General features: G+C 40.5%; 1 protein-coding gene and 1 long non-coding RNA gene across 2 annotated transcripts in view, besides 2 other annotated features; one reads left to right on the forward strand and one right to left on the reverse strand.

Annotated features, from left to right (window-relative positions):
* Positions 1 to 1,130: 1,130 nt before the first annotated feature.
* Positions 1,131 to 6,364, reverse strand: KBTBD6 (kelch repeat and BTB domain containing 6). Its single transcript, NM_152903.5, has one exon. The coding sequence runs from the start codon at positions 6,071 to 6,073 to the stop codon at positions 4,049 to 4,051; it is 2,025 nt and encodes a 674-aa protein (NP_690867.3). The 5' UTR covers positions 6,074 to 6,364; the 3' UTR covers positions 1,131 to 4,048.
* Positions 6,017 to 6,066: an enhancer, noted in NCBI's record as "active region_7625". NCBI's record gives its function as "activates an Ori minimal core promoter by ATAC-STARR-seq in GM12878 lymphoblastoid cells {active_cell/tissue: GM12878}" and the evidence as "EXISTENCE:reporter gene assay evidence [ECO:0000049][PMID:35858748]".
* Positions 6,427 to 6,666: an enhancer, noted in NCBI's record as "active region_7626". NCBI's record gives its function as "activates an Ori minimal core promoter by ATAC-STARR-seq in GM12878 lymphoblastoid cells {active_cell/tissue: GM12878}" and the evidence as "EXISTENCE:reporter gene assay evidence [ECO:0000049][PMID:35858748]".
* The window catches only part of KBTBD6-DT (KBTBD6 divergent transcript), a 103,759-nt gene continuing 93,324 nt past the window's right edge, over positions 6,490 to 16,924 (forward strand). Inside the window, exon 1 of the long non-coding RNA NR_120423.1 lies at positions 6,490 to 6,617. This is a non-coding gene — a long non-coding RNA (KBTBD6 divergent transcript). The remainder of the gene's footprint in view (positions 6,618 to 16,924) is intronic.

Here is a 16,924-nt window from a genome sequence, read left to right on the forward strand (position 1 = left end):
GGCCTGTAAGACGTGACTTTGCTCCTCCTTTGCCTTCCACCATGATTGTGAGGCCTCCCCAGCCACGTGAACTGTGAGTCCATTAAACCTCCTTTTCCTTATAAATTACCCAGTCTCTGGTATGTCTTTATTAGCAGCATGAAAACAGACTAATACAGACCCTATCTCTATTTAAAAACAAAACAAATCAGGTTATTTAGAATAATAAAAGGGGTGTTGAAATTTTTAAGCAGGTATGGCAAAAGAGATCCTATTACAAGTGCTCTTACCTTGGGTCTGATGAGCTTCAGAAATGTGAAACATCCTTGATATTATAAATTATGTGCCTTTTGCTTGGGAATGGATCAAAAGCTTTCCTCAGATTCTCAACAAGATATAAAAATTGAAAAATAAATCCCTGCTCAATTAAAAATGATGAAAAAGAGCTATTACAACTTAATTTCAATCTTTAATCCATATTTAGACAAGTTAGTGGCTAAATTTGTTTCTATTTTATCCTTTTGAAAACTCTAATACTACCTATCGTTTGCATTTAAAAGAATTTGCAATAATTTGGGTTCTCAGCTTTTCAGACTACAGGGACAAAAATACAAAAGATAATTAATGTCATTCTAAATCTTACAGATGGTAGTCCGACAAATGACATTATATTAAGCATTTGCTAAAATATGTGTGGCTTAATTGGAAAATTAGACAGTTACATTTTCTTGTCGTGAAGAGATTTCAGCACTGCTAGTTGTATCATTCACTGCAGTGATCCCCAACCTTTTTGGCACCAGGGACCAGTTTCCACGACTAGGGGTAAGGGGATAGTTTCAGGATGAAACTGTCCCACCTCAGATCATCAAGCATTAATTAGATTCTCATTAGGAACATGTAACATAGATCCCTTGCACACGCAGTTCACAATAGAGTTTACACTCCTATGAGAACCTAGTGCCACTGCTGATCTAATAGGAGGCAGAGCTAATGCTTGCTTGCCTGCAGCTCACTGTGTGAGCCCAGTTCCAAACAGGCCACAGACTGGTACAGGTCTGCAGCCTGGGGGCTGGGGACTCCTGATTAACTGCACACGCAAAAGTTTTATACATTTAGTGGAATCACTGAAGTAAAAAGTCAGGAAGCATAAGTTCTGGTACCAGTTTTATTTATAATTAACCACATACAAATCACTTTTCTACAAAATAATGGTTAACATCTATTCCTTAATTCACAGAAATATCACAAAACCAAAATCCTTCCCACGATATATTACTATTTAGTCTAAGCTTTAATTCAAAGGTTGAGAATGACGAATTCAAGAATTTCTTTCATACATAAATTGCTTTCCTTAGTTCTGCAGATGGGTAATCTGTTTGAGATAAGCACTGTCATGTTTCAACCTTAGAGAACAAAAAGCTATCAACAAGATAGTGGTAAAGAAAATGCTAGCCAAAAAATAACACTATTGAGAAATAGGTGCGTATTAAGTGCAATACTTACAACATCTCTGATGTCAAATGACCAAAATTTAGCCTTAGGGCACTAAAGCACATTTGCCCTTTTGAAGCACATACTAGTATGGCACATTTTATTTCACTAAAAGTGATGTTAAACGTGAATGTCTTGTAGACTATTTAAAGAGCCAGTCAAATGGCTAAAAAAACCATTGTTTTTTTGTTATAACTCTTTGTGTCTCCCTCTTTCCATTCTCATCTTATGATATTTCACTCAAAAATTTAGTTACCCACCCCAAAACACATTTCTCTCCCTTCTGCCAGGGTGTAAGAAATGTTAGCATTCTGTCACTAGAAAATAAACACTGAAGAGGAATTAGCATGTTAATGAACAAAGATTAAGGAAGGTAATACTAACAGGATAAAGGAAAATGTAGACCATAAGCATCTGGTCATTCATCATGTACATGTATCATGTCAACCATTATATATTAAATCTTCAAGAGGTAAGTACTTCTGTTTTAGTGTGTTTAACAATGTCAGTTTCGTGGGATTTAGTCTCTGTTCCAGGACCTTCTCTTACATTATGGTAACAGAAAAACAAAGACTGGAGCATGGTTTACAGAGAAATACAAAACACATACAAACATCATAATAAAATAGCCATTTATATCACTATTAGAGAAATATTTTAGAGAAAACATACTTTCACTAGTGGCCTCAAATGCCATCATCCACTTATGTTCTTTAACTATCAACTTTGTTTTTCTAAGAGATGGGATCTCGTTCTGTTGCCAAAGCTGGAGTGCTGAGACATGATCATAGCTGCAGTGAGCTATGATTATAGCTGCAGATGATAGCTGCAGCCCCGAACTCCTAGACTCAAGTGATCCTACATTCAAGTGATCCTCCCAAGTAACTGGGACTCAGACTTGGGCCACCATGCCCAGACATATTTTTTATTTTTGTAGAGATGGGGTTTTGCTATGTTGCCCAGGCTGGTCTCAAACTCCTGGGCTGAAGCAATCCTCCCACCTCAGCCCCGAGTTGCTAGGATTACAGGCATGAGCCACTACACCCAGCAACTGTCAACTTGTAATACAAAAATACCTTCAAGCTGATAATCAAGAACATTTAGTGACTTTAAAAAGCTGACAGAATATTTCCATGCTACACAAAACAGTTCTATACACAGCTTTACAGTTTTAAAGTTCTTTGCTGGCACTTGACTTTATAGTTAACACAATGACTACTGATATCAACGAAATACTGTTTTTAGCTTATATATATTTTCAAAATCAGTATTACCTCACAAAACAGTAAAGAAATATCACTTCTGCTGAAGAATCCTCTAAGATGAACACCAAAACTGTACAGCTAAAACATATTGAGAATCATGTAAATGTTTAAGGCAATAGATAAAAATTTATACAATCCAGTGAAATTTATACATGTCCAGCAGAAAAAAAAGGATTATTCCTGATTAAATGAAGCATGTATCAGGTTTAGATCAACAATACAAACCTACAAAGCAAGTTACTTCTTTTTTAAGGTTTTTTGATGATTTGGTGACACAACTAGAATATAACCTTTTAGATGAAAATTGGTGACTTTGCAAATACACATTCTAAATTCCAAAATTAAAACGAAACTTCTTTTCAAACAGTAGAATCCTGGTTTGTTGTTTTTACTGTCAATGAGCTTATAGCTATTCTCTGTATTATTATAAATGAAGTCACCACTCAGTCACCCTAATACACATATGGTTTTTTTTCTTTTTTTTTTTTCCTTTTTTTTTTTTTTTTTTTTTTGAGACGGAGTCTCACTCTGTCATCCAGGCTGGAGTGCAGTGGCCCAGTCTCGGCTCTCTGCAGCCTCTGACTCCCGGGTTTCAGCAATTCTCCTGCCTCAGCCTCCTGGGTAGCTGGGATTACAGGCGCATGCCACCACGCCCAGCTAATTTTTGTATTTTTAGTAGAGACGGGGTTTCACCATGTTGGCCAGGCTGGTCTTGAACTGACCTCAGGTGATCCACCTGCCTCGGCCTCCCAAAGTGCTAGGATTACAGGCGTGAGCCACCGCGCCCAGCCTGCATTTTTTTCTTCATAGAAGAAAACAAAAGTAAAACTTCCCAAATTATGTTTAACTTATAACACATTTTGTAAAGACCCCTTAGGTTAACCATTTTGGAAGTCTACATTGTTCTGAAGAAAAAGATATGCTTTCAAAACACTATCTAGCAATTCCTAATCATTTTTCTATTATAAAAATTAAAATTCAAAAGTTATTGCCACAGTGCTTGTGGCAGTAAACAGAATGTAAAATGTATCAAAAGACTAAATTAGTGTCATGAAACATAAACATACTAAATAATCAAATAAATACTGGACCCTTAGCACAGAAAATTATTAAAAGGTTGATTTGAGTGTTAAAATTTGTAACATTAAATTACCTTCGTATTTCAAACATTACTTTTTCTAAACCAAACCAGAAGTTAATCAACTTTTCCTCTCCTTTAGGAACAAAAAGGATATTTAAGATATTTTCCAAAACAGTAAAAACAACTTAGTGTTTCAATCTAGTTACAACAAACCCTGTTGATCCTGTGCATTTCACTGAGGCGCTACACGCACCCAAAAATCATCATCAGAAAGAGAACTTGAACTTCCTGACTCAGAGTCTGGCTCACTGAATCCACCTAAGTCCCATTCAGTGCTAGACTCACTTGGTATTTCTTCTTCTTCAGTGAGGAAACTCTGACCAGGTTCAAGGCAGGAAGGATAAACACGAGCAGAGAGGCAAAAAAAGTTAGAATCAAACTGCAAGAGGCCTAATGTGGTACCTATATTAATCCATTGGTCTCCCCTAATATCATATTCATACACAGTCACCCGGTTCTTTTTCCACTGTGGGGTGCGAGAGGTGATGAGCAACAATTTTTGGCCATGCTTGATAATTCTGTAGTTGTTGGTCTCTGAGACCAAGGGAATATTATTCATTTGCCTCCATTCTGCCCTAACTGGGTTGTAGACCTTCATGACTGGGATATCACAGATACAATAGATCTCCTCATTGAAGACGCAGGCTTCCTGAAAGTCATTGCGCTTCAGAGAAACGCACTTCAGCCACATATTGTGGCTAGGATCATAACAGAACATGCGCTTACTGTTGAGAGCATAGAGATAGTCTCGAATTACCATTAGGTCAAAGGATAAAAAAGAATGGGGCAGTGGAGCCACCAATGCCCACTGGTTTCTCTTAACATTGTAGCATTCCACTTCCTTCAACTTAACTCCAGTAATAGGGTCTCGCCCCCCCAAAATGTAGATATAGCCATTGAGATATGCCACATCCATGCCCTCACGACACAGCAAGCGATCTGCAAGTTGCTGCCAACTATTCTGAGCTGGTTTATACACCCAGAGGTCTGTCCTGGGCTGAGCAGCTAGATAGATGTCATGGTCAGGAGAGATACAGACAGCTAAAGTGGTGACAGTCCTAGTGTGAGCCAGACAGGTCAAAGGTGACGGCACTTTGTAAAGGTCCCCCGAGTATGGATCACAGCAGAGAAAGGGATCTCTGGGGTGTCCAAAGAAGATCACCATCTCCTTGGCACACATACCCAGTCTCTGGGGTGGATTTTCTGCTGCAGATACAAGAGAGTTGCTGCTGCTACTGCTGCTGCTGCTGTTTGGCACTGGCACCAGAGACTTGTACAACAGGTCACCATAGCGCATCTGCAGGGCCCCTTCAATAACGTCCAGGCAGTACTTCTTCACGATGGGCTTGGTCAGCAGCCCTTCTAAGTAGTCCTGATCTTCTTCAGTGAAGTGCATCCAGCGCACGCACTTGAAGACTTCTGCAGCACTGGGACCCCGCTCTTTGGGAGCAGCCTCCAGCCACTGCACTGCCACATGGCACACTGTCTGCTCACTCTCCACGTCCAGACTATCCAAGCGCAGGACAGCCAGCAGCTGGGCCAGGGTCAGATCTGCTAGAGTCTCCTCCCGAATTGAACCCATGTGGCTGAGTTGCTTGAAGTTCTGAGCTATATAGGACTGGGCCTGGGATCGCAGCTTGCGATGGCCAAAGGCATCTGCAAACTTGAGGATGGCGGTGCAGTTGGTCAGGTCAAGACGTCGGGCTAAGAAGGAGGCACAGGCTTCCCGCACATATTCCAGCTGTAGCATGTCGGAGGCCGCGTACAGGCGCTCCACGTTGGCCTCACTGAGAGACACACGACCCGTGTAGCAGTAGTCGACCAACACCTCGAAGGACTCGGCGTCCACATCGTGCATGGTCACGCTGGCCTGCTGGCTCTCGTACATGCCACCTGTGAACATGCTCTTGAAGTAGGGACATGCCGCGGCCAGCACATTGCGGTTGCAGGGGAACAGGCGACCCGTGCCAGGCCCGCTGCCAGGCGTCACCACCTCGATGGTCACATCACACAGCAGCCGCGCATCGTAGAAGGACTTGAGCTGTGCCAGCAGGGCTGCAGAATGGGCCGTGTCCTTTAATTCCTCTGGACCCGTGAAAAAGGCCGAAACTGTGGGTTTGTGAATCTTCTTGGGCCGCTTCCCACCACGGGGACTGGCTAGGCGGCGAGAGCGCGGGGCGTCTTCCCGGGACTGCATGGTGGAGATGGCGACGGGCGCTGATGGCGAGAAACGCTGCAGGACCCGGCTCTGGCTCCTCCTCAACCTTCCCTCGCTGACGCTAAGATAGCAGCGTCTCCGAAGAGACAGCAGCACGAGCCCATTTACTGAATTCAACCCTACCCCGCAGAACCGCCTCCCGTTATCGTTTAGACAGTGGCTGACTCACCCTCTCTCACTCCCGCGTCCTTTCTCCGCGTCTGCTCGCCTTCACAGGACCCGCTGGCTTGGAGCCGCAGAAGCCGCTACTGCAGCGTGGGCGACAATGCTAGGCGCCCAGGAGAACTACCGCTCCCAGGTTGCCTTTCGCGCCCCGAGGGCTGCTGGGACTCTCGGACTCCCGGGCCGAGACCGAGGGAAAGAATCCGCTTTGCATGTCGGGAGTAGTAGTTTGTGTAATATCGCGATCCTTCTCTGGTGTTCCTTGTTTTAGCTGACGACACTCGAGAGCGCCAATTTTCCTAGATTCGATTTTGTGGTTTGGAACTGTGGTTTTGGAATCCAGAGTAGTCGCCTCGTTCTAGTATGTATTGTTTGACTTGTCTCTTTGAACTGTTTCTTCTTTTGTAAGACGTGAACAGTAGTATTTCATAGGATTGTGTGAAGATTACATGAGTTGGTTATAGGACGCTGTTAATAAATATTTGTTGGTTTGTAGAATAATTACTCAGTTCTTAGAATTATAAAGGTTCGATAAGTTTTCTTCCAGCCTTTATTAAAAAAAAAAAAAGGAAGCACCACTAATTTGAAATTATGAGCCTGTAGGAAAACAAAAAACCCCCCAAAACAGAAAACCTTGCAAGTTCCAGCAGAGATCCCTTTTTAGGGGCGTGTGTGTGTGTGTGTGTAAATTAGATTTTATTTTTAGGTTTACGGAAAAATTGAGCAGCAGGGACAGGGAACTTCCATATATCTCTCCCCACTTCACAGTTCCCTTATTATTAACATCTTGTATTAGTGTATGTATCCATTAGAAGTGATTTTTTTTTTTTTTTTTTTTTTACTCACTATGCCTCTCCCTGGTACCAAAAGATAACTCAGGGTTTGTAGGATTGGTTGGCTATCGCTGGAATTAGATCCCTGGCTTTTTCACAATTGCCTGTCCTTATTTGCCATGACTAAAAGGAGACCACCTCCAGTCACCTGACTTTGAGACTTTCCTTCCATATCTGCATTTCAAAACCTGAAGTCCTCTGTAGCCACTTCTCCCACTTGGTCTCTCCAATATTCAGTACCCCTTTCCCTTTTTTACACAAAAGAAGAGACATGCTTTAGGGGGTCCTCACCCCAAAACACAATGGAAGCCAGAGGCCTGGTTGGTAATTTAGCATCCTTTTAGACCCAGTGGCTCAAGCATTTCTCCCCTTGCTTGTATGAAGTTGCCTCTCCATCAGAGCTGACTTTATTTCTAGTCATTCACTCAACCTTTACTTACCCCGTGCAGTTCAGACATTAGAAGTCACTGAGAACACCTAACACGTTTCCGCTTCGGACTCACCTCCTGTGAAACCCTGCCACTGTCTTCCTCTCTCATCACTGTCCACCGTAGTCAAAACAATCAAGCCACTCTTCTTCCCATTCCCTCTGAAGGACAACCTTGTGACTGAATCACCGTCACACAGTCATTCACATTTCCTCACTCTGACATCACCAGAACTCCTCTCAGAGACCTTGATATCACCTTTGTAGATGGTTCTTACCTCAGGAGTACAAATGGGGAATTTTAAGCAGGATACACTATTGCAGATTTTCAACAGCCTATTAAGTTGAAATCTCCACTTAAGTTAACATGGCCCAAATCATTGAATTCTTAAGCACTCACCCAAACTTGCATGTTAGCACAAGATAAGGGAACTAACATTTATAGAGACAGCCAGTTTACTTTTGGAATTGCACGTTATTTTGGTATGCTATGGAAAGAAAGAGGTTTATGACAACTGAGGAGTACCACTCAGAACCCAACTCACTAACTTATTTAAGTCTTTTTTTTTTTTTTTTGAGATGGAGTCTCGCTCTTGTCACCCAGGCTGGAGTTGCAGTGGCGCGGTCTTGGCTCACTGCAACCTCCGCCTCCCGGGTTCAAGCGATTCTCCTGCCTCAGCCTCCTGAGTAGCTAGGATTACAGACACCCACCACCATGACCGGCTAATTTTTTTTTTTTTTTTTTTACTTTTAGTTGAGATGGGGTTTCGCCACGTTGGCCAGGCTGGTCTCAAAATCCTGACCTCAGGTAATCCACCCGCCTCGGCCTCCCAAAGTGCTGGGATTACAAGCGTGAGCCACCGCGCCCAGCCCCCCTGTTTAAGTCCTTACAGCTATCCAGAAATTAGCCATTCTCAAAAATCAAAGCTCACACTAGTGGCTGGACTAACAAAGCTAAAGGAAACTTAACTGGCTGAAAATATGCTAAGGTTGCTGCTTCCCAAGAAAACACCTCCTGAATCACGTGTATACTTCTCCTTGCTCAACCTACTCTAAAGACAGAAACTCTTAAGAAACTTAAGATATAACAGCTGCTAGCACCTGAGGCTGAAAAAGCAAAAAAGCAACAAGCTGGATGTTTTTTCTACTCAGATGGGCTTTGGAGACACCTAGACATCATTGATTTCTCTTGGTCCCTCACCCAAAATTTATTCTGCAGCCTCCATGAGATTACACATTATGGCAAAGAAAATCTTTCTCCGCAAATATTGTTGGGGATGCCCTAATACTGAGCAGTTAACTTCAACTTGCCCCATCTGCCAGAAACACAATCCTAGTCAACATGTAAAGTGGGACAAGCATGAGAGTCAACTCTCTCTAGTCCTTGTTTTCATTGGAAAATATATCAACTCTCAAAGTCTTATGGGTACAAATATGTTTTAACCATAGTTGGCATGTTTTCAGCATGGTTAAAAGCTTTTCTCTGTAAACAAGCTACTATCACCACTGAAGTTAACCTGATACCAGAAAGAATTTTCCCCTCCTAGGGATCTCTGTTTTTTTTAATAACAGTGGAGGAACTCACTTCAGTAGTAAGGTTATTCAGGATCTTCAACAAGTACTTCCAATGTTACAAAAACTGCAGTCTCCTTACCAGTCCTCTGGAAAATGAAACAAGCAGGCCAGTGGTACCGTTATATTCAAACTAGCCAAACTCTTTAAGGAACTCAACCTGCCCAGAGTCTCATGCCTAATGGCCCTTGACTCTTCTATTATCCCCAATTTCTCAGCATGTACTAAATGAAACTTAATTCTTAACATGATTAATGAGTCTCTTGAAATCTCCAAACTCAATGACTCCACTTTTTCAGGATCAAGTGTAGGAAAAAATGTAGGAGCACTTTTATCCCTAATAATAACCATTTTCTCTTCCACCACTTCCCAACCAGCCTTACAAACTGCGTTCAGTTCCACACAAAGACTCTGCTCTTCTGAGGGATCTACCCAGTTGTTAATCCCAGTAATTGTTAATAATTACTATACCTCAGACCCCACCTGTTTCCCCATAGGATACCACTTTTCATGCCTTCCCCAAGGGCATTTGGACTGATTGTCTGGGACTTCAAAATATTTAAAGCTGCTATCCCACCTGTCAATGGTGTGTCCTTCTGGAATTACCTCCAAATTGAGGCAACTACAGGGAATTGGGGAAAACCTCCCAGGGATATCAATGATTCTCTTTTCATATGCACCATGAGGGCCCTTGACACCCACTATGGCATTAATACAGTTAAAAAGGATAGTTCAAAAAAAAAAGAAAAGGTAGTTCAAGCCTCTCCTTAACCTTTGTAGAAGAAAATTATACCACTTTGGCCCTAGAAGTACAGAAAATAAGTTTAAACGCACAGGTCCAAATTGTTATGGCCAATCCTACAACTTTCAACTTCCTTCTAGCTAGACAAGGAGATATCTGTGCCATAGCCAAAATCTCTTTTTGCACTTGAATAAACACAACAGGACAAGTGAATGCTTAGTTACTAAACTCAAGGAAAAGGCTAGTTGGCTTTCTAAGGTAAATTCAAATAGCCTGAGGCATGTTCCCCTGGGCAAGATTTAGAAATAGAAGACCCGGTTTTGAGCTGTATTACAAACATTACTAATTGACATAGTTTGGATATTTGTCCTCGCTCAAATCTCATGTTGAAGTGTGATCCCCAGTGTTGGAGGTGGGGCCTGGTGGGAGGTGTTTGGATCACGGGGGCGGATCCCTCATGAATGACTTGTGCTGTCTGTCCACTTGGTGATAAGTGAGCTCCCGCTTTGAGTTCCCGCAAGATCTGATCGTTTAAAAATATGTGGTACCTCCTCCACCCATTCTCTCTCTCTCTCTCTCTCTCTCTTCTTCCCTCTCTTGCTTCCGCTTTCACCATGTGACATGCCTGCTTCCTCTTCACCTTCCACCATGATTGTAAGCTTCCTGAGGCTTCCCTAGAAACTGAGCAGGTACCAGTACCATGCTTCCTGTAAAGCCTGCAGAACCGTGAGCCAATTAAACCTCTTTTCTTTATAAATTACCCAGTCTCGGGTATTTCTTTATAGCAATGAAAGAATGGCCTAATACACTAATTATTTTCCTGTTTGTAGTCTTATACCTTGCAGTTGGGCAGTACATCATGCCTAGTCTTAAATACTACTACACAGCTATTTGTCTTCACAAATTATTATTCAACAATGTATCATGATCTGGTAGACCAAAGGGTGACTCTGCTTCCAACTGACTTCCCAGACAGAATTTCAATCTGAACTGACAATTTTACCCGTGGAGATCAAGATCATGGAATTAAGAAATTCCACAAAGTTTTGTTTTCCTAAATCTCCCAACTCTTTTGTGCTCTGGGAAATGGCTTACACAGTGAACCATCCTTCCTGTATGACGTAGATGACTTTCTGTCTACTTTTTCTCATGCCTACCATAAGACTCACTGATGACCTCCCTACCTTGTTTACCTGTGAAAAGGCCAAACACAGCCTTTTCATTTTTGCCTGAACCTGCTGGCAAGACCAGACACGAGTCTCCCACTTCCTGTCATTTATATCATGAATCATTAGCTGAAGTTAGAGCTATTAGTCCACCACATGCCCCCCTCAACCCCAAACTAGCTACACAGAGAGATAAACATTTTCTGTGCAGCTGACTGAGATGTCCCCTGTTTACAAAAACAATCCCAACTAGAAATCATTCAATTTAAAACAAGTCTACTCCTCCCTATAAACTATAAGGTCAAAGCATCTTGCCAAGCACTCTAATCTTTGAATGTGGGGTGCTCTCCCTATTGCAATAGCCTGAATAAAATCAATTTATTTGCTTGTTTGGTTGATAATGCCAAAACTTTATACCATATGCAAACTTTATACCATATGCAAAAATTAATTCAAGGTGAATATCAGTACTGTGGTGTTATTATACATATATATGTTTTCATCCATGGTCCTGGTTCATAACTTCTATAGCCCTTGTTACAGATTTTGTTATAATCTTGAGTGTGTTAGGCCTCAGGGGCAGGCCTCAGGAGACAGAATCTCTCTGACTTTCTCTAACTTTCCTTTCACCTGCCCCAAGGCAGGACTCTAATTTTCCCTCAACTTTCTGATTGTGAGTCATAAGACCTTCATTCCAGAGAGAATCCTGCCTTGTACTCTGGGGGAAGAAATGCTGATGTCATGAGGCTTCCATAAAAACCCAAGAGGACTGGGTTCAGAGAGCTTCCAGATAGCTGAACTCATGGAATTTCCTAGAGGGTGTCCTGCCTAGAGAGGGCATGGAAGCTCCGCGCCCCTTCCCTTGTACCTTGCTCTGCATGTCTCTTCATCTGTATCCTTTGTAATATCATTTATAATGAACCAGTAAATGTGTTTATCTGAGTTTTGTGAACTGCTCCAGCAAATTAACCGAACCCAAAGAGAGAGTTGTGGGAACCCCAACTTGAAGCTGATCTGTTCCAGGCCGGGTACAGTGGCTCACGCCTGTAATCCCAGCACTTTGGGAGGCCGAAGCGGGCAGGTCACTTGAGGCCAGGAGTTTGAGACCAGCCTGGCCAACATAGCGAAACCCCATCTCTACTAAAAAAAACAAAAAATTAGCGGGGCGTGGTAGTGCATGTCAGTAATCCCAGCTACTGAGTAATCCCAGGCTGAGGCATGAGAATCACTGGAACCTGGGAGGTGAGGGTTGCAGTGAGCCAAGATCACGCCACTGCACTCCAGCCTGGGTGACAGAGCGAGACTCTGTCTCAAAAAAATAAATTAATTAAAAAGAAGTTCCAGAGGCCTGAACTTGCGGCAGGAGTGAAGGTCGCAGGGGCTGGCAGTGGGCATTCTTGAGGACTGATCCTCAACCTGTGGGATGTGACACTATCTCCAGGTAGACAGTGTCAGAATTGAATTGGAGGACACCCAGCTGGTGTGTGCTGCTTGGTGTGTGGGGGAAAACCTCCACACATTTGGTCACAGATGTTTTCTTCTGTGTTGATGATTGTCGTTGTGGTATGTGAGCAGAGGAAAAACATGGTTTGAGGGTTTTCCCAAAAGAACTACTGAACAGAAAAGCTAAAACTGTGAAGCTTCTAAAAGATAACACAGAAAACTATTTCAGTGACTTCAGGGTAAGCAGAGATTCTGTAGGAAACAAACCAACAAACCACTAATCATAAGAGAAAAAAATTTGATAAACTGAATTTCATCAGAAGTAAAGTCTTCTATCAAAAGACACTGATACAAAAGGAGAACATAAATGACAGACTGGGAAAAATTTTTACTCTATATATGCACATGACAAATGACTATCTGGAATATATATTTTGAAATATTTTACCTCAAAGAATATAATATATATTTTAAATATACTTTAAAATATGTATTCCAAATAGCCATTTGTCATGTGAAATGGGCAAAAGACTTGAAAAGACATTTCCTCAAAGAAGATATATGCACTGCTAAAAAACATGAAAAGGTCTCAACATTGTTAGTCATCAGGGGAAAGCTAATTCAAATCACAATGAAATACCATTTCACTCTCACTAGAATGGGGAAAATTTTAAAGACTAACAATACTACTTGATTATGTGAATAATACTTGATTATGTGAAGCAACGGGAATTCTTGTACATTAATAGTCAGAGTATAATTGGCATGTTCACAATAGAAAATGTCCTGGCAGTTCTTTTACAGTTAATTAGTCAACAATTTCAACCTTAGGATTTGCCCAAAGAAAATAAAAATATATGTCCATAAAATGACTCATACAAGAATGTTCACAGTAGCTTTATTCATGATAGCCAGAAACTGGAAACTATTAAATACCCATAAACAGAAGAATGAATAAATAAATTGTGGTATATTCATGCAGTACAATACTATTAAGAAAGAAAATGAAAGAACTTTCGACTCACACGAAATGTAAATGAGCTTCAAACATTTTATGCAAAGCAAAAGAAGCCAGATATACAAGAGTACTTACTCTATGTATGTGAAATTTCAGAACAGGGAAAATAAGGTACGGTAAATAAAAATAATAATAGAGTCTGTCACTATTGGGGCAGCAAGTAGGGGGATGGATTGCTGGATCGACCGGAAGGGAACATGAGGAAACTTTCAGAAGTGATGGGAATGTTCTTTTCTTAATTGGGCTGGCAGTTACATAGTGTATACAATTGCCAAACCAACTGAAATGTATTCTTCATATCTATGCATTTTATTTACTGTAGATTATACCTCAAAAGAATACAACATCAATTTGCAAAAATTGTTCTTAGTGTAAATTTTATTATTTTTCTTAATAGTTTATAATATATATATTGTTAGGGTGATTAGGAATTTAAAGCCAACATTGTTCTTCATATAGCAAATGACAGCAATTCCTAGTGCACAGGATGATTAAAGGGTTAAATGAAATAAATAGAAATTATTTAGAGTAGTGCCTGGCATACAATAAGTTTTTAGTAAATTATTTCCTTTATGATTACACATATGGTCAAAATTAACTATATATACTACCTGTTCTATTTTCTCTGAAATAAACAAGTGCACCCAAGAAGCCTTATTGACTGATCTGCTGCCTAAGGTATTCGAGTACTTTGGTTTAGATCTTACCCTCTACCTCTCAAATTTTTAAACTCTGAATTCCCTCTTCTTTTCTGCATTTAAAAATGAAACTCTGGTCTAGGAATAGAAATAAGCATGTCATTCTGTCCTAATATGTTTTAGAGCAAGGGCTGTATATAATCTAGAGATGGTATACAAAGTCCCATCTAAATTGAATAGTCTGTTTGATTATCTGAGTGTGGAGTCCTAATACCTCCCCAGACCTACAAACACTGTAAACTAAATCCTGTACCACAGTTAGTGGTATTAAAATGGAAAACTATATATTTTTAAAGAGGGTTAGATGAATTCATTTGTGTCATTGTTTCTGTAGACATGGATATCCACAGTATGGTGATAACAACCATACATAATGTATAGTAAAGTTTTTCTCATTTCAGTGTTCTATTTTAGATAACATAGATAATTAAAAATATGATTTTATATGTTAAGAACATATCTGAAAAAATGAAAAATGCCAATTTACAAAATTCTACATTGATGATAAAACTTTATTCATTGGTAGTACACTAATGGATATATGTGAGACCATTGGTTTGGAGCAAACAACATGTAAACTAGAGACATGAACACATGCATATTAGGCCATTTTTGCATCACTATAAAGGAAGACCTGAGGCTGGGTAATTTATAAAGAAAAGAGTTTTAATTGGCGCACAGTTCTGCAGGCTGTATGAGAAGCATTGTGCCAACATCTGCTTGGCTCCTGGTGAGGGGCTCAGGAAGCTTACAATTATGGTGGAACATGAAGGGGAGCCAGCATGTCACATGGCTAGAGTGGGAGCAAGAGAATGATGGGGAGGGCCCGACTCTTTTAAACAACCATCTCTCCTGTGGGCTAACTGAGCAAGAACTCACTCATCACCAAGGAGATGGTGCTAAGCCATTCATGAGGGATCCACTCCCATGATCCAATCACATCCCACCAGGCCCCACCTTCAGCATTGGGAATCACATTTCAACATGAGATTTGGAGGGACAAACATCCAGACTATCTCACTGAGTATACTAAACACCTCATGTAAGTATGAGCATCTGAAGCTTTCAAAATATGAAAGATGTCTTGATTACAATAATCTGATTTTTAAATCAGGTCTTGAAACTGGACAGTCCTCTTTCTCTATAGCCAAAGTGAGTATCCCCACCATAGTCTGCACTTTACTTATTGGCTACCACAAGAGTTTTTATGGGTCCTCTGTCCCTCAGCTGGAGTGCCTAGTGAGTGAGCCTGCCTGCTGAATGACATCTTTTCCATATTATTTAGTGGCAGCTCACCTGTTTAAAACCTGTCATAGAGTTTTGAAAATAATTTATTTTCATAATTCCTTTTAATTGTTTTTGACTGTTAGTACTTTATTGATCCTATAGTGCTCTCAATTTCAATTTAATTTTTTAAATCTAAATTATATTTTTGAAATAAAGTTTTTTCTTCATTGTTATTCTAAAGATTTTGTGTATATGAGGTAATAAACTTGGGTTTTCCAGAAGTTTTATAAAAACCCTGAAATATTTTCAGTTTATATGTCCATTTCTTAACATTTTTCCATTAACATTTAAAAGCTGTAAAATTTATCTTTGTACTTTGGGAGACTAATAGGTCTAGCTGAATGATGTGGTTTCATTGAATCTCACTGTATCAAAGAGTATAACATATGAAATCACTTAATTAGTTGAATAATAGATGTCTGAGATTCTTGCTACTTAAGTGTGGTCTCTGGACCAGCAGCATCTGGCATTGCCTAGGAGCTAGTTAAAAGAAATGGCCCCAGAAATACTGAGTCAAAATCTGCATTTTAAAAAGAGCTCCTGGTGATTCCTATGTATACTAAAGTTTGAGAAAAACTGTCTCACTGTTTGAGATTTTTGATCTACCTTTCTTTTTGAAAGGTAAAATTGTTTCAATGACATATGTTCTTATTCTTGACATACTATGAGAAATAGACTGTCTTCATTTTTCGCTGTTTTGCACAAAGTTTAATATTCACATTTGCTTAAAAATAAAAGCACCCACAGTCCTAACTTTCACATGGTTAATAATACTTTGTTTTTAAACAAGGGATATTAAAGTCATTTATAAGTCTTACATCACTCAATTTTACTACAATTTTTCTGAAGTAGTAGATGAAAAAAATGTTTAACTTTTTTTTTTTTTTTTTTTGAGACGAAGTCTCGCTCTTGTCCCCCAGGTTGGAGTGCAATGGTGCAATCTTGGCTCACTGCAACCTCTGTTTCCCGGATTCAAGCTATTCTCCTGCCTCAGCCTCCCAAGCAGCTGGGATTACAGGCGCCTGCCACCATGCCCGGCAAATTTTTGTATTTTTAGTAGAGATGGGGTTTCACCATGTTGGCCAGGCTGGTCTTGAACTCCTGACCTCAGGTGATCTGCCTGTCTCAGGCTCCCAAAGTGCTGGCATTACAGGCGTGAGCCACCGCGCCTGGCCAAAAAAAAAAGTGTTTAACTTAATTTGTGTATGGTTTTTTAAAAAGGCTCATAGAAGGATCAAGTGACCAGTCCTAACTCAATCGTCAGTACTGTATTTCTCTTTCCAATGGGATGTGCTTATTTTCTGTTTGGAGAGTTGAACTATCCTTTACAGGAAACCTAATATAAACTGTTCAGGTCAAGAAATGTGGTTTGATTCATCAAAAAAATATACTTGCTAGTCCTATTACCTTTAGCTGCACTTTATCGAAATTCGTAAGGATTGCCATGCCTCAGTCTTAGTATAGGCCCATTTCCTTTGCTTT

Source organism: Homo sapiens, chromosome 13 (genome assembly GCF_000001405.40).
Source record: "Homo sapiens chromosome 13, GRCh38.p14 Primary Assembly".
Classification (NCBI taxonomy): Eukaryota; Metazoa; Chordata; class Mammalia; order Primates; family Hominidae; genus Homo; species Homo sapiens.

Bases quoted from the DNA above. Each gene is read 5' to 3' on its own strand.
- KBTBD6 (NM_152903.5), bottom strand. From the start codon at position 6,073: ATGCAGTCCCGGGAAGACGCCCCGCGCTCTCGCCGCCTAGCCAGTCCC.